Source organism: Homo sapiens, chromosome 5 (assembly GCF_000001405.40).
Source record: "Homo sapiens chromosome 5, GRCh38.p14 Primary Assembly".
NCBI lineage: Eukaryota > Metazoa > Chordata > Mammalia > Primates > Hominidae > Homo > Homo sapiens.
The window spans coordinates 42,491,581-42,509,880 of NC_000005.10; the positions used below are offsets into that span (position 1 = coordinate 42,491,581).

General features: G+C 38.7%; 1 protein-coding gene across 5 annotated transcripts in view, besides 1 other annotated feature; it reads left to right on the plus strand.

Moving 5' to 3' along the window:
* The window catches only part of GHR (growth hormone receptor), a 298,440-nt gene that overhangs the window by 68,142 nt on the left and 211,998 nt on the right, over window positions 1-18,300 (plus strand). The window lies entirely within an intron of this gene.
* Window positions 17,135-17,635: an enhancer, noted in NCBI's record as "H3K4me1 hESC enhancer chr5:42508817-42509317 (GRCh37/hg19 assembly coordinates)". NCBI's record gives its function as "activates a minimal SCP1, AML or CMV promoter by ChIP-STARR-seq in naive H9 embryonic stem cells {active_cell/tissue: H9 hESC(naive)}" and the evidence as "EXISTENCE:reporter gene assay evidence [ECO:0000049][PMID:30033119]".

Sequence of the window (18,300 nt, forward strand, 5' to 3'; positions counted from 1 at the left end):
CCACTACAAGGTAGCTATTTTTCTAGAACAGGCATACCTTATTGTATACATTCTATGTTTCTAGAACAGGCATACCTTATTGTATACATTCTATGAAACAGAATATGGAAAGTGCTAAATGAAAGGCACAATCAGAGAATTCCCCAGGCCCTCAAGAAGGAAGGCGGAATGGATGAGGAAGTCTGCTGTCCAAGGGGTGGGCCAGAGCTAAGGCAAGATTTGTGGGTGGGCCTTCACTAACCAGGCACAGGGAGAGGGCATTCCAGGAGCAGATGTAGATCTGGCCAAGGAATTAAGACAGGAATGCAAGTGGCGTTTTCCAGGCAAAAGATTAGGAAGTTTTAGATCAGCCTGGATATGGAGACCTTGAATAGCAAGCCGACTGAGGAATGCATGAAAGAATGACTACTAGCTGGAATAAGAGATAAATCTCAAGGCCTCTTTTCTCTTTCACCTCTCCTCTTGCCCACATCATGGACAGATAGTTCTGGCTTTTCCTTATACTCTGTTTCTGTAAGCAATTTTAAGAAGGCAGAGTGCATAATGGTATTACTTTTATGTCTGCGTGTGTATTGCCACCATGAAGCCTATAGTTTTGCTTTTCAAACTACTAGATTGTGACCTTGTAATGATCTGGCAAAAGGCTGAATTTTTAAAAGCAGTAAATCCATATAGTGGATAATATTGGGAAAAAATTAGGGCTAATACTGAGGAATGAGAAGATTAGGAAAGAGATAAATAAAATATGGGTGGTATAAATAAAAATTAAAGTGAAAATGTGGGGAAAGGACTGCTTATGATTCACCTTACAAAATTTCTACCTTATGGGGTCTGTTTTCACTGTCAGTTCTTTCTGTGAATGCATGTTCATGAAGATACTGAAGGCTGTTTTTCTATAGGCAGCTGGTGGTTTTCTGCTGTAGGCAGAAGTGGTTGAGGTAATCCTAGGGAGGTGATGCTGAATGGGGCTGTGGTTCTACTTTATGTAAGGTTATTATATGTGAAAGAAAGAGTAATTTTTAAAAGTAATTAACTAGTGGTAGATTCTGAACTAACATTAGCAAAGGTTGATTATAAATCAGATTTTATTTTTACTACTGATTTAGAAAAAATCTTTGGAGAAATAGATTTGGAATGGTTAAATATCACTTTAGGGAGCACATTTTGGTATCACAGCTTAAAGGTACTCTTAAGAGAAAGCTTTACAAATGGGGCAACCTGAAAAGACACATTTCATGTGCATTCAAATTCAAGATAAGACCCAAAGCTCTGTTGCCAAGGTAAAGGTTTTGAGAGTTAAATGGGAATTTGGAAAATAATATGCAAAAATTGACTTAAAATGTAGATAAGCCTACAAGTATTTACAGGGTGGAGACATCAGAGAATGTAAGAAATAGTTTGGATCACTAACAGGAATGTGTAATGGGAAGTCAAAATCTATGCTGTCAGGAAAAATTCATATTATTGGATAGAAACTGTATTATTTGGTACATTTAAGATAAAATGAAAATTGTGTTTTCAAAGGGTTACGCCTCGCAGTGGATGAGTGATTGGGGCGTTTTCTGGTTTCAGTGATTCTGTAGGCAGAAAACAGTTTTTACTGCCAAGTGTGTCAGTGGAGGTGGGGAGACAGAGACCTTGCTGTGTTAAGTGAAATCTGTTGCTTAAGAATAAAGCTGGGATTTCTGTAGAATGGAGAAGGAGTTTGGTATTATCATATTATCAAAAATAACTGCTCTTTGAAAAGTAGATTTTTTAAAGTTTGATTATCAAGTATTTATTTAAAATACTGCCTAAGTATTTAAACACTTTCAGGCTCTGATTTTGTTTTTTTTACAAAGGAAACCTATGCCTAAAAATTATTTTAAGTAGTTATATGGATACATGAGCTACACAGTTTCAGACCTGTGTATATGACTTTCTAAGAGGTCTATGGTATCCAATAATAAATGATTTTATGCAGGGATTTAACACATAATGGGTCATGCATTATCTATACCTTGTTAATGGGATCTATATAGAGTGATAGCAGAAAAGAAAGTTAATTTTAGGATCCTTTAATGCCTATAAATTTAGAGCAAAAGAAATATTTCTAAAAGTTCAACTTTTGTATACATATGCCCAATCACAAGTTTTACAGACATTTTTACACGTTTAGGCCTGAAATATTTGATTCCGCTCTTATTTGTCAAGATACAATATAATTACATTAGTAAAATGCAAACAGGGCAGATAAGTTTTCCTTCTTTTTCCTATGCTATAGTCATGCTGCAAACCCTCCATTACAGTTTTTTGGCTGAGGTAGGTCTAGATGTCTAGAGGCCAACTAATACAGTTTTATATAATCAACATAGGGAAGTCATTTCAGAGACTGGCATTGAGCTCTTGGAGGGAAGAAAATGAACCTTAAAGCTTCTTGGGAATATCCCTCACTGCAGCAGAGTTTATGTGCTCTAATGGATGCTCCGTAAATGCTTGAGAGAATATAAGTCCCATAGGTTAGCATATACTTAATTCTACCTATCATGGAAACCTCTCCATACATTCTATAGCTGAAATATTTTAGGAGCTCAAAAGGAGTAACAGAAACTAAAGGGAACACCAGCTCCAAGATTGGATTTTTAGGCTTTCTTTCTAGTGTAACACTTCCCTTCCTGTTGGGCCATCGGCAACCATATCCTGGCTAATTAGAAGTGATTTTCAGGGGAAAGGAAGAGGTCATAAGTTCTTGCCTCCCTATTTTCCTTCTTGTTGGGTGCTAGTAACTTACCTTAAGAAGTAATGAAGTCCTAGTAAAACTCCTAATATTCAGAAACCAACTCTCATTATTCAAACATGTTGAGGAAAAAATGTCTCCTTGCGTCCTCTTCTGCTTAAAACTCCCCCAGTACCATCAAGCATGGACGGATATATGATAGTGGCAGTATCCAGAAGACACACCATCTATGTAACAAACCCTGGAAATAAAGTATGGTATAATCCTAAGCATTCGCTCAGCACTCTTGCTTCTGGGAATTTGCTATGAGTCAGCCACAGGCATCTCTGTGTACCTTCAAGCCCAGATTAGCACGTATGGGAGGATAAGAGAGAAAGTGTACTTCCTGAATACATCTTGGGTAGAGTAAACTAATCCTTAGCTAGGTTGATGACATCCTTACCCAGAATTTAAAAGTTCAGTAGAGACTCTTCTTGAAATGTTGAATTTTTATTTCTGCTTGTTGCCCTCTATAGATGAGTGAAATGCAATGAAGATATTCATGGCTACTATAAAAATGCATTAGTTCTTTTTGGTGAGCTACTTGACTATCAGAGCCAAATATGTAGGTAGTTGGAATTAAATTTCCAATTTAGCATCCCCCTTAGAAGGGTGATGGAAGCTCCCATATCTTGGTATTTCTCTTTCTGAGTATCTGCTGTCTCACTGAGGCAACATGCTAGCCTCCATGTTGTATTATTTCACAGGTATAGAACTAAGTGACACATTGCCAATTCCCACGCCCCCCCCCCATTTTCTTTGATGGAGGTAGATTACATTTATAAGGTGTAGATATTGCTTGAAGGTACTTGTTCTTTCTTATAAGTAAGCAAGAAAGAGAGCAGCAAATAATAGCTAGGAGGAAGATGTGCCCACACCACATTCAGGCCACTTAGTCTATCTAGTAAGATAGAGTGTTTCAGGCATCAAGCATGTACTGGGAGACATGCATACAGAAAAAGAACAAGCAATAGACTCCTTTGAGAGTGACATGGTAGGTCTGAAGAGTGAATGTAACTTTTTGTCTCCATCCCCTCAGTGATTCATTAATTATTCATTAGCTGTTTTTTTCCACCAGGATTACAATCATTTTACCTTTGCTTGCCAGCCTAGTGGGTTATTAACAGTGGTTACTCTATTTATTTACACATTTTCCTTGTGTATGTTATTCATCCTGTATTAGTTCACCCCCACCCCTAGTCACCATTCTTTTTTCTTTTGTTTGGCCTTTCATGGCTACCATATTACCATGTGATCAGAAAAAAAATGCACTGGTGTCAGAATTAGGCCAACACAGACATATGGGATGGTAGGTTCATTTGGGTTGGATAGAGAGCTGTTTGAAACTTGTATACACATTTTTCAATTTCAAGAAGAAACATCTGCAGTAAAGGAAGAACTGCATAGTTTGCAGTGGTCTAATGGAGGTGAACTCAGGAATCTCAGATGCATTTAGCTCTACAAGTCTCCATTATACAAATGATGTTGAATGTTTCATCTCTTGCTACAGATTAGTTTTGGGCCATCATGAAAAACTTTCCTGAAGATTAAGTCAAACTTATCTATGCATGCCTTCTTTGGATACATAGATCCACCTTTGACAGCTACTCTGTCCACTAATTCTGTCAAGTAGGACTGAGCTTTCTTGAACACCTCTCCTTTTGTTAACAAGAAGGAGAAGAAGAAAATTAAACACTCCTGGCATCTGCCTGGCTGTGATTTAGCCCTTGGTAAAAAGTATTACAAATTGAGACGGTGCCAGACTGCTCCTGTGATTCATCTCTTCTCCTGTCAAGACCAGTTGAGGCGATGCAATTGGGAACCTCTCTAGTTTGTGAAGAGACACTTTATGTTGGAAGCAACAGCATAAGCACAATAGTACTTAGGCATTCAAAGCAGAGAGAATTGGTTCCTCCTGATTGGGTGAACAATCACTGCAAATTAAGGTCAAAAGTATTGTCAACCAATTCAGTGTACTAGGCTTCTTCATCATTTCCCATGACTTGTTCTCTCTTAGGAGAAGGTTTAGCAAATTGGAGCAATTTTTTTTTTTAAATCTTGGTGCAGCGTTAGTGATAAAACACAAGAAAGTTTAAGGCTGGATATAGCATGTGCATCTATATCAAGATGAAGATCCATAGAGAGATGTGCTTGATCTTGGGATGCTGGATGAAAATCCAGGCACTGTGTTGTGGGAGCCTGATTTCTGAAAGTTGGGGCATCATTGTTTGGCTTATGACGTTTATAAGTGTCAGGTACGTCTTGTCCCACAGAATACTTGTTATAGCTGTTAAAGGACAGATTGTCTTCAAGACAACTGGTACCCATGCCAGAGTAGGGTATATTCTGACAGAAAATCCATTTACTCTCATCTGTAATTTATCCCCTTAGTTGAAACATGATCCCAGTGTAGGGCATTTACTTTTCACACTCCGTTTAAATCAGTGTGGTTTCTTCCTACCTTAATGAATTTTACCTCATTTCTTTGTCTTGCAAAAACCCAGGGCAGAATGGTAAAATTTCAAAACAAATCTTTCACAAGGCTGGAACTAGACACTCTGTTGGGTCACATGCAAGTTATTTGCAGAAGAGGAACACTTTGCATGTGAATAAGAGAAAGCAAAGCACTTACACCAGTATTCAGTGCTCTTGGGGCCAGGAGTGAGGGGCCTTCCATGTTTGCAGGACATCTGTTTGGGCCTTAAGTTCTGCTACAGCCCCAAGTCCTTATCTCATATCTGCCTGGTGTCCTATTTTTCTGCTTAAAGAGTCAAAGACTGAAATTCTTATCCTTGTTTCCCATTCATTCCTAAGTTACTTTAGCCTTCACATGGAGCCACCATGCTGTGGCCCACAGAGTGTGCTATTCACTTAAACTTATTTATCTTAACCTTTTTGTGAAATATGGTTGCATTCTTTGACTTTCCTTGCTTGTCACAGTTTACATTAATCCTGGAACTTTTGAGTCTTAAGCGCTACATGATAGTACTCTTTCTAATGGTTTCTAATGTTACACGAATGCCTCTCTTTCCCATTTCATCCCTTTCTCTCTGTTGGTTTTGACTTTAAGCTCTCTGGCTGTTTCATGGCAATGATTATTGGTGACAGTATTATCTATTACCAAGTGTTTCTTGTTCAGTTTTGCATAGTTTCAATGTCCTTTTAAGCAAGGATTGCCAAACTACAGGCCACCTGTTTTTGGAGATGCCATTTAATTGGAACACTGCCATACCCATTCATTTACATATCACCTATGGCTCCTTTCTCACTACAAGGGCATTGTTTAGTAGTTGAAACACAGACCTTATGTACCTTCACCTCAAAACCTAGAATATTTACTATCTGACTCTTTACAGAAAAAGTTTGCTGATCTCTACTTTGAAGAAGAGAAAGTCGTCAGATACATACAATGCCAAAGAACTGCTGGCTATGAAAGGGATATTGTAGAATTCTGCAATTTTCTTAAAGAATGGAAAACATTGGAAAAGAGTCACCTGTTTACAGGTGATTTGCATTTCTATAGGTATCAGAATAATGTGGGTGCTTGTAGGTTGGGGAAGGAATGGCAGGCCTTCTCTCTCTGTCAGTATCTTCAGGCCCTGAAGTCATACAATCAATGGATTGCTTTTCCTCTTCACTTTTCCATTTTGCCATAATTTTGCCAAGGGGGAGGTTGGAAGTGGGTTAATATTTTGCGTTAGAAGAGCATTTGGATACATCCTGATAATTACTTTATCTCAGATATTCTTAGATTCTCTCTAGTGAAGGCCACACCTTCTCTGTGCCTCAGGCTGGCATGGCCCAACTGTGCTACTTACCTTGGGTTCCTGCTGCTCAGCTTAAAGGGAATCTCTTTCATATGCCTAGAGCCTTGTTTACTCAGTTCAGGTCTGTACCAGTTGACACCAAGTCAAAAAGCACTTTAGACAGAAGCCTGCTTTGAAAGTGCTAGCTAGCAGCAAATAAGTCTGGCTTAATTCTCCCTTGAGTCTGGAGATCTGATTGGAAGGGTAAAAGGGAGAAAGGGATGATTTATTTGTTGACTGGATTGACTACTTTATATTAGTAATTATGAGGCAATTCTACCCACATTATCTCATTTAACTCCCCATAAAAACCCTACAAGGGAGGTAATATACTTTGGAAAACTGAGACTCAGAGAAATTAAGTAAATTGCAAAGTCCCCATGCTATAAGCATTATAGTCTCATAAGCAAATGTCATGAGCTTCTTCTAGCTTTTTCTTCATGCTCACAAAATGGTTGAAGGAGATCCAAGCATCATGTTTCTAGTTAAAAAGAAGGTGCAGAGTAAAAGGCAAAAGGCAAACGGACAAGCCAACCAAGTTTGTTCTCTTTCCTAGATGTTCTACTTGGTGACTTCAGCTTATATCTCATTAATGTGCATCATAGGATTATCTCTGCAAGGGAACCTGGAAAATATAGAAATTTGTTTGTGTTAAGCTGGGCACCTTGCCACCTCCATAAAAATGTGCTCTATAGGTACAGAGCAGGAGATAATCATTATTAATAGGCAACTTATAGTCTCTGTTTCAAGAGGTCATTCTGGTACCTGAGAAAATTGACAATCTCTGGTCTAAACTCTTACAGGCCTCTCTTGCCTTCATTTAAGATGAACTTGATAGAATAAAGATTATTGTTGTTCTCTAATCTCCTGGGTATGAGACAGAGAGGTAACAGATGGAATGATTTCTTTCTGGCTTCCATAGCAAACCAAAGCATGTGCCAGTGAAGAGTGGCAACTGCTACAAATACTTAGCCAAACGTGGGGAAGAGTGTTGATGCTGTAAGTCTCCTAGCTATGTCGAGGCAGCAGGTGTCTCTGTAGATCAGGGCAGCAATCCCTTTGGTAAGGGCATGAAGAGGGCACTTGGGACTACTGGATTGCATCATCTTGGCAGAGAAAAATGTAGCATATACTGGAACTCTAGCTGGGTAGGGAATTGACAAGTTGAACCACAAGTTGACTACTGTTCAGTCAGCACTAGCTTTTATCTTCCAGTCACCATTCCCTGTGGCTCTTCATTGATCGTCCACAAGCTCCAGGCCTGGGTGGTGCCTGTTGTGATATAAGAAGGGAAGAGTGATGGTTTCCAAAATGTGAACACTCATGTGTACAGTTTTCATGTTGATAATGAAATGCTAGAAGGGGAACAGCTAGCTGATGCCTATGTCTTTGTCCATACCTGGCTACCCATGACAAAGTTGTTGTTGTTGTGGTTGTTGTTTCACTCCAGGCACAGGCACAGAGCCGCAAGAGTAGAAAACAAGAATTCCATCCTGCAAAAGAAAACTGAATCCCCCTTGCTTGGTCACTTAGGGAATCAAGTTCAGGAGGGCTGGACATGTTTTCTGTTGCTCTGTAATAGGGGCTGAAACTTAGTTCAATTATGGTGCTTAGCTGAAGCACCATGACTGAATCTTTTTTTGAGAAGGAGAAAGGAGAAGATTTTAAAATGAAATGCCATAAGTGTAACATAGTACATATAGAGGTCACAAACTTGGAAAGCCTGTGGTGTCTTGGAAGGTCACATAAATGTGTGAAACACGCCAGTTGCACACAGGCAAGCATATGTCCCTTCTAGAGAAATTATTGCCACTGAGGAATGCTGGTTCTAATCTCCACCCTCCCTTCCCCTCCCCTCCACTCCTGTAAAAACCAGAGGTTTGGAATTTTGCGTGAATAACTCAGTTTGTTAGTGTTGACAACCAGGCATGACAGTAGCTCATTTGGACCCTTTGTCCAAATCAGGAAACAGCAGCCCTTCCTTCATGGCAGCCCTGTAGCTACGCCAGTCGAGTGTGGGCTGGATTTCAGCCCTTACTCTCCTCCTTAGCTGAGACTTTGTGCCAGACACAAGCTGCCCAGCTGTAGACAGTGGGCCCAGAAGTTATCAGTGTTACATGAGCAAAACAAAACATATCTACGGGCCATACTCAGCCCATGGATTATTATTTTGCAGCTTCTGTAGCTGCGGTTAAAACAAAGCTCTGGGGCCAGATCACCTGGGTTTAAATCTGGGTTCTGCCCTTCAGGCAAATGACTCAGTATTTCTTGGCCTCAGCCTCCTCTATCTGTAAAATGAAGATAAATACTTGTACTTACTTAACAGGGTTGTTACGAGGATAAAATCAATACTGTGGGGCAAACACTTAGCTCTACAGAGGGTGACACATAGCACTTAATGTTATATAATACCAAAATCATGTGAAAATCTGATTTTTTCACACTTAGAGAATATACAGCATATAAAATGATGGGAGAGTGCATGTCAGACCTTCATGATTATTTTCTGCTTCTTGGGGAAATGCTTATGCCTCTTTGGTCACTGTGAAGACAGAGAACTCAAAATAGTAAGCATCACTTACTAGCTGGCCTACTAAGGCCACAAGAACAAATGAAGTAAACACTCTGCTTGAACCACTGATTTTGTTTGCCTGCATGAAACACTTGCACAGGTTGACAGCTGACATCCGTAACAATGACATCCTAAAACCATTAAGAAATGATTAAATTAAGTTCAGTATTATCTGTTGCAAAAGACAAAGATGTGTGAGGTACGTTTTAGAATAACTTACAATGAAAACAACTAAAAAGTGAGGAAGTTTAAAGTGGTGAGTATTCAATTGCTTGAGTTCATCTTCTACACTGGCTCATTATCTGGAAGCTGGGCCACAGAGTTAATACTCCATCTTTAAAGACTGTCACAGGTGTTTGCACCTAAGATGCATCAGGTTCTGCAGTAAAAATTTGGTTCCTGGCACTGAGACAATGCTAGGAGGAGGGTGTTAACTTAGTACTGACCATAATGAAATCTGTGGTTGACTGCAAGGACCTGGGTTGAAATAAGACTAAATCCAGTAGTATTGCTCCGGTAGGTTCAATCATATTCAAGTGTTCAATAATGATTATAAAGAAGTGTCAAGCTGTCATGCTTACTTTAAAACATATCCAGAAAAGAGAATCCAAGGAAGTGTATTTAGTTCTACCTGCATTTAAATTAGCTTTTTTTTTTATCATTACATCAATGTCATTAGGCCCTAAATGATATTAAGAGTGTCTATGAGACCCCAAAGACAAAGATTGTCCCCTAAACTTCTATTCTTATTTGTTTAACATGGACTTGGCCCAGCTACCTCCAATCTAAAGCTTCTTTCTCTAGAGTAAGGTATCTCAATCTATGCACTGTTGACATTTTGGGCCAGATAATTCTTTGTTCTTGGGGCTACCCTGTGCATTTTAGGATGTTTAGCAGCATCTCTGGTCTCTACCCACTAGATGCTAGTGACTTCCTTCCCCTCAACTCATGACAACCAAAAATATCTGTATACATTGCTGTAATGTCACCTGGGGAGAAAATCTTCCTGGTGAGAAACACTACTCTAGACTAAGAAAAGTAGCCAGATTTTTAAACACAAAAGTGTTTTTCCTCCCAGAGGCAAAAAGTGCCCTAGAGATGGAAGAATTTTGAAAATAAGCTCTTCCACAAACTATACTGCCAAAATGGTTAGAGAAAGATCCTATAATCACCATGCTTGACAAATGGTGTTTTTGCTAAGCCTCACAGCAGCTTTGTTCATGTATTGTGTTAATTGCAATTAAATAAACTAGTCTAGAAGTGCGGGTCATCATCCAGCCCATTCATATCCCTCCTTTACAGTACACATCCAGACTTCTTTCAGAGTTTTGCTTGCCCATTGGTGCTCACATATAAAAACTCCGTGGGTGGGAGTTAGGGATTCATAGAGCAGAGAGGGACCTCAGCTCTTCATGTCCACTTTTCTTGTTTTAAAGGACAAGGCACTGAGGTCCAGAAAGTGGAATTTGCAGCACAAATTGCTATGATAAACCTCAGTGATTCAGCCCCTGGGATCTTCAATGATATAGGCACAGAACATATAACTATTACTGAGTAAAATGTTTAAAATTATGTTCTTATGGCAATGTTCAAGGTTTTAGGCATAAGTAAGACAAAGCAGAGAAAAAATAAAAAATATTTTTCAAATTGAAGGCTTAAAAAATTAAGGATACCCTCTATGTGCCTTCTGCTTTAGGATCCAGAATCTTATGTTTGTTTGCTCTTTATAACACATGACTGTGTAATATCAGTCAATTGTGACTGGTAAATTTCCATTAATTTGCCTAATCATATTTAGAAATTATGCCTACTAAATAAATTATGGTTGGAACTTGAAAGGAATAATGGCTTAAATAAGTGATTTGTTCTTTAGTCAGAAAAATATTCTCACGCTCTCTCTCATACCCTCATGAAGCACTGTCATCTCCATCTAGTTTATAATTAAGGCAATGGGACCAAAGTCATCCTGTTGGCACAGGATGGCCATCTCTGCATCCAAATTTCTTTTACTAATTGGAGAAAACCACTAATTGTACATTTTAAACTCAAAATGTCTTTATGTATATATATATTTAAAATATATTTTATTATTTTTATTAATTTATTAATTATAATTATATTTATTAAAATAATAATTATTTTTATTAATTTATACATATGTATAATTTATGTTTTCTCCATGTGGCTAGCTGTTGATCTAAAGGAGAAGGAGCAAGGCAGGAAAATTATCAGGTTCAGTGTTTAACTGGGAGATGAGGACATCACTAAAAGAAAGGTACAGCAGGTTCTACTGGTATGTACAAGTTTTGATTACAAGGTGTACTCTTGCCACCTGGTGTGGTGTCTCAGCTAACTTTAGTTTCTGATTACCGGGGTCTCTGAGACAACTCTCCAGGGTCAGGTATAGAGCTCCTTTTGCCCTTGGCATGTTCCAAATCGCTTCCTTATGCTCAACCTTCTGAGCAATACAAGGAAAAATTCCTTGTATTGGCATGTTATGAAGGTTATTGAAATACTTTAGGAAATGCCTTTGACCTTGTTTTGTACTTAGAGGATGATCTCATTCAGAAATGGGTAGTGTCAAAATATGGAATGTGCTAGTAAAATAAGCACACAATTCACTTAAAGAAACAAAAACAAGACAAGACAAAACAAAACAAAACTTGTTTGGGATGGGTGAAAGGCATGGGGCTGCAATTCATCCTGGATTTTAAGGTTAGAAGTGGTTGAAAGAAATGTGATATTTTTACCTAAACCGTGGTCAACTATACTTTTACTTTTTAGCAATGATGTGAATGAAGAATGGCTTTGAAGACTGTTGGTGGATTTGACAAATATTTATCAAGAGCCTGCTATGAGTGTCACCATTATAGGTGGTAGAGATTCCACAATGAACAAAACAGAGTCCTTTCTTACATTTTGTGAAGGGAGACCACCTCTAAACAAATATATATCATGTCAGGTAGAGATAAGTGCCATGGGGAAAAACAAAATAGGGTAAGGGGCTAGGTGGGGCAGGATCAGACCAAGGAATTTATATTTTATATAAGATTGTCAGGGAATGCCTCTCTAATTAGATGACTTTTTTTTTAATAGAACTGAAGGACATAAAAGGACGAGGCTTATGGATATCTGGGGGAAGATGTCAGAGGCTGTTATAAAAGTTGCAACAGGAAACTGATTAGGACTCTTAGCAGACTTATATGTGCTTAGAATGAAAGGGATTGGGATAAAAGAAAAGAGGGGAGCTTTGGGAAAGCATTAAACTGTGGCCATAGCACTGATTGGATAAACCATAACATTGGATTATGGGTCTGCAAATTTCTTACATTTTTTTTAAAGTGTCAGACCCATAGCCCTAGTAATAAGCAACATGGTCTTTTCTTTGAGCATAGCTGTAATGAACATGTTATTCTTTTGGAGTTATCCTGCAAAGCTTATCAAACTCAAGAAGCAATAGTTTATATGCATTGCCCAGGTTGAATATTATTAATTTGGGTTGGGAAGTGATATGACCACATTCTGACTGACTATAGGCCCTAGTTCAGTTTACCTGATTTTATGCCCAATTTTTAATGAGAAGGGAGCTTGCTAGGCCAGGCAGGAAGAAAGAAATGGGGACAGTGTCAAGCAGGAAATGCAGAAGAGTTGAGTGTAGGTAAATCCCATCTTTCCTGGCTTTACGTTGCCTTCACATCCCTCATAATGATCTTCTACCTCAGTCTTCAGTATAAGCAGTATGTTGTTCTAAAGGTATGAAGTCTTGGCCAGGCACCGTGGCTCACGCCTGTAATCCCAGCACTTTGGGAGGCCGAGGTGGGTAGATCACGAGGTCAGGAGATTGAGATCATCCTGGCCAACATGATGAAACCCCATCTCTACTAAAAATACAAAAATTAGCTGGGAGTGGTGGTGCACACCTGTAGTCCCAGCTACTCGGGAGGCTGAGGCAGGAGAATCGCTTGAACCCAGGAGGCGGAGGTTGCAGTGAGCCGAGATCGCACCACTGCACTCCAGCCTGAGAACGGAGCGAGATTCCGTCTCAAAATAAAATAAAATAAAATAAAAGTAAAGGTATGAAGTCTTTTCCAAGCTAAGGCAAGAATGCTGAAACCTCAATCATAGCACTTTTCCAAAAGAGTCTTACCTTATATTCTGGATCTCTTCATTATCTCAAGAGGGGCTTCTTTCTCTTTAAATGTGAAAAGAAGAGAGGCATCAGCTAGCCCTATTAGCCCAGGGCTAAGAATTGCTCCAGATTTTTGAATGCTTAACCTTAAACAAAGTCACATGTACCAGTGGAAAGTGGCTCCCCTGTTTTCAAGGACAGGTCAGATTTTAACTACGTGCCTCTTAGGCTTGCCCTGTCTTCGGAGTTGTTAAACATGCATGTTGGGAGCTGTTGACTGTTTTTTTTTTTTTTTCTTTCTTTCTTTTTTTGCCTTATAATTTACTTTTATTTTAAATCTATTATACTTTGAACTGTTGACTGTTAGAGAAAGCAGTACTGGCTTAGGATCAGCAGAGAATATGGTTGAATTCTATTTCTTAAACTGAGGAGAATTTCTGTTTGAGCCCAGTCCAAGTCATTACTTGAGCAATTTTTTGCGCATTTTGCTGCTTAAGTGTTTATTTTTTTTTTGCTTTTACAAGTAATTTTTTTTAAAAAAGTTATCATACACTCAGCAAACATTTTTTGAGCACGTACACAATGCCCAGCCCTGTGCCATGCATGTTCAAAAAAAAAAATAGGTAACATTATATCTGTGCTTGTGAAATTAATACATTTGTTAGAAAGATAAGACTTCAATCAGTAAAGCAATCCAAGAAGGAACAAGTACAAATCCAGGAAGGAGACATTAGCTCAGTGGAAAGAGTCCACTGAGGTAGGTAGACTTGGGTTTGAGTCAGAAGCAAGAGATTGCTTTTGTGAGATTTCGCTTATCCTGTGTGGGCCTCAGCTTCCTGTTATGTAAAATGGGATAATAGTACCTATTACATTGTCACATTGGATTGCTGTGATGACTTGATAATATTTATATACAAAGCAACCAGTATAATGCGTGCTCATAGTAAGCACTTATTATATTATTATTATTTATTGGACATATAATTAGAAGGTCTGGGTTATAATCTTGATTCTACAATTATTTAGTTTTGGTAAGTCACTTAACTTTATCATACCATTCATGCATATTACCTATAAAGTGAAAGGAACAGAGGTTCTACAATTTATCTCCCAAATTCCATGGTATTTTGAACCAAAATGTATTGAATAAGTATTTGATGTTTGCTTCCCCTTCTTGTTAGTGATATTTACAATAGCAATAAAACATCAATATTTATTTAGGACTTGCTCTGGAGCCACGAGCCGTGGTGTGTTCTTGACATTATGTTATTTACTCCATGCTGCATACTCAGTGAGACAGATAACCTTGTCTTGTTTCCTAGATCCTAGGCCATATTTTATCCAGTTTAATATTTCTGAAATCAGAATGTATTATGTAGTATTATGTAGTTAATAAATATATTTAATGTGGAATTTTTTTCCCAAAAGCCCTTTCTAAGTGAGATGGACCCTCTTATGATTTAATGAGGATGTCTTCCAAGGGAAATAAATATTTTTTCTATATTTCTGATGGTAAAGTTGAAGCATAGAGAGGATAATTTACATGACCAAGATTAATGAACTAACAAAAGCAAATTCAGGACTTGAACTTAGGTTTGTTTTATTTAACAATGCTCACCCTACCGTACTTCTTGGGAGCAAAAAATTTAAAAAGTTTCTAACATATATTCATTAGTTCTTTCCATTTTTTATAGCAAAATATATTTGATCTGTCTCTAGAATCAATGATAGATTCACTATTTGTTAACTTTTAACAGGAATATATTTTAGTCCCTCTAGCCTGACTTTATAGGCTATGTACCCAGTACATGAAAATATATAGTAGCCTCAGTTTAATGTTGATGTTTATTTGATGTCGACATCACTAGTGACACTGGTCAAGCGTATCCTTTTAGATAAGAGCCTATTAGAATTATATATTCCCTGTAGAAATCTTACCTTGACCATAGTACATTTAACAGCAGATTTTTCTCAGACTTTCAAAATCCTGAAAGTCTGGGTCATTACAAGAAAACAAGGATGTGGTCATAAACAGTTGATTATTAAGCAAATTCATTGAAAATTAACAGCAGTATTCTTTGACCTCACTCTTTATAGCCAAACTGCTAATCTTGGGTAAATTATAAGATTATATTACTAATCCATTGACATTTAGCACAAATTAGCTATCAAATGGGTCAGTTGTTACTGTTGGAAACTTATGAAAATACATTAAAGTTCTTCCCATTTCCTGTATGTTTCTTTCTCTGACACAGAATCTTAGAGGCTTTTATTAGGCTGGGAGAACTTCCCAAATAATCTAATGACTAGTTGAATAATTGTTTATGATATAAAATCAGCTTTGTTGTCAGAATGATTACAGTTTCAGGGTCATAGTTAATAGAAAAATATTTCAGTGAAGGTTACCATTAGTCGTTGTAAGTATCCCTTGATTCAAGAAGTGAAACTTTTATTGAAAAAACTATTTGCAGAGCTGGAGCCCTGATGGGCCTTTCTGAAGTTTTTAAAATTAAGAAATCCTATCTCTACTTTTAACAAGACATGAATGTTAGTATATTCACCCAGACTAAATGAATGAATGAATGATCACATTACACATGCTTGGGATTTGATTTCCTTCCTCTGGTGTTCACTGGACTAGCAGCTTCAGTACTCAAGTGCGATTGTAAAATTACACATGGTGGAATTCAAAATGGTGTACATCAGTCAGGTCCTGGAAAGACACACAATCTAACTCAGAAGTTTCAAGAGACTTCAAGGGGAAATGTACAGAAGTATGGGTAGGATTAAAGTAGCTAGCAAGGAATGCTGAGTCACTCGGACCCTAGCTGCCATGAGAAGCTATTATCTCTTCTGGACCTGGAGCTGCAGAAGAAGGAAACCGTGTTACTCTAGTCCTGAGAGGGCCGGAGCCATGGAGGAGGGGTCTTGTGACAGAAGCTAAAGTTCTGGAGAGACATAGGCTAGGCCAGAGCATAGGAATGTGGGGAAGACATCCCTGACCTCTCTGTCAACCTTCTAATCTCCATTGTTCAAACCCAGTAGGAAGTTATCCAGCATTGAGCCTGGAGAGTCAGCCCGCAGCAGTCAGCCTCCTGAGTGCAGAGCAGAGGAAGACCTGGAATGGATATGCTATAGGAGGAGGGCCAAACAGAGAGTAACTAGTCCAGATGGGAAATGCTATTTTAGACCTCATACACTGCCAAAAAAGAATGGCATATTCAAGGAATCCAGGACCTTGACCTCATTTGATCTTGGATTTGCATCCATTTTCTGATACTTTCTTCCAAATACTCTTGTAAGCATCTGACAGCAGCCAGGAGAATTGCTGGTCAGTTCAGCCTGTCCCAGCTTCATTGCTGAGGTACATATGTGGTTAAGGAGCTGAGAGAACTGGTCTGATAGCTCACCAAAGGGGGCCTTTCCCAAGGAAAATAAAATAAAGAGAAAATTCATTGAGAATCTGTCCAGAAAGGACAGTAAGTAGGCATGGAATCATAGTAGTAAGGAAGCATGGAGGAGGCAGGTGCATAAAAATGACTTGTGATATTTTTGAAGCTATATGATAATGTTCTGACCCACACTCTTGCCAGCCTCTGCAATCTTCTGGAGGCTTCATATGAAAGCAGGATTGGTATGCTGTTTATTATAAATAGTGAGACCTGAGAGATGATTACTGTCAGCATAAATGGATATTACACATTGCACCTATCTCCCAGCAGGAAGTTTGTTTGTTTGTTTGTTTGTTTTAGACGGAGTCTTGCTCTGTCGCCCAGGCTGGAGTGCAGTGGCACGATCTCGGCTCACTGCAAGCTGCGCCTCCCGAGTTCACGCCATTCTCCTGCCTCAGCCTGCCAAGTAGCTAGGACTACAAGCGCCCGCCACCACGCCCGGCTAATTTTTTGTATTTTTTAGTAGAGACGGGGTTTCACTGTGTTGGCCAGGATGGTCTTGATCTCCTGACCTTGTGATCCACCCGGCTCGGCCTCCCAAAGTGCTGGGATTACAGGCGTGAGCCACCGCGCCCAACCAGAAGTTTGTGTTTGATGTCACTGTTGTTTCACCAATTTAAAAGAAAATGAATATTTTTAAAGGAAAAGAAAAAAGTTATCACACTATGTGATGAAATTTGTATCTATGGGTGGTTATTTGCTACTTGGTAAATAATTAAAGCCTGTACTGGTTACCTTTCCTTTAGCAGCTGACAACAAATAAACATCCTCACCTCACACCTTATACACTTTACTCCATGGTTCATTTTCAGTATTATTTTGTACTTCTCTTGCTTCATCATACTATTGCCTGGCAAAATTCCAACCCAGATTTAATCCTGCTTTCCATCTATACCCTGCCTACACCTGAGAGTTCAATGTTACTGTGGAAAATGCACACTGTGGTGACTTGTTTCACTTTAAATGCATGGGCCCTAACCTCACTGAGCCATTTATTAGTAATGATTGGCAACTCTCCATATTTCTTGAATCCACTCACTTTCCTAGTCTCCTGGACAACTATGTGACAACTCCTCTATCCTCAAGCCTCCAACAATTACTTCTCATACCCTAACTCTGCGCAGATAACCTTTTTTCCTATTTCACTGCAAAAAGCCCAGAAGTAATCAAAAGTGAATCTACAAGCTTCCACCACCACATCTACTCCTCCCAGTCTCAGTGACCATATGGTTTGCCTTCCTTCTGTTAACAGAGAGCTTCTATCAAAGATGAACCTCTCCACTTGGCACTTTATTTCCCTCTTGCATATTCAAGGACATTAGCTCAGCAATTTTCTTTCTTTCTCCTTTCTTGCATTATTTATTTTCTCCCTCCACCAGAAGTTGTCACCCCAACTTCTATTAGAATGACTTAGGAAGTGCAGGCCTCAAACCTTTTTTTTTTTTTTTTACACGTCTACCTCTATTAGCACTCCCTGCTCCTATTTTAGGAATCCAGGCTTTAACGCTAACAGTTACAAATTAAGCCACAAGCTTTGTAAGTATTTGCCTGTGCTCTAGCTGCTAGTGGGTTTTTGGAAAATCAGT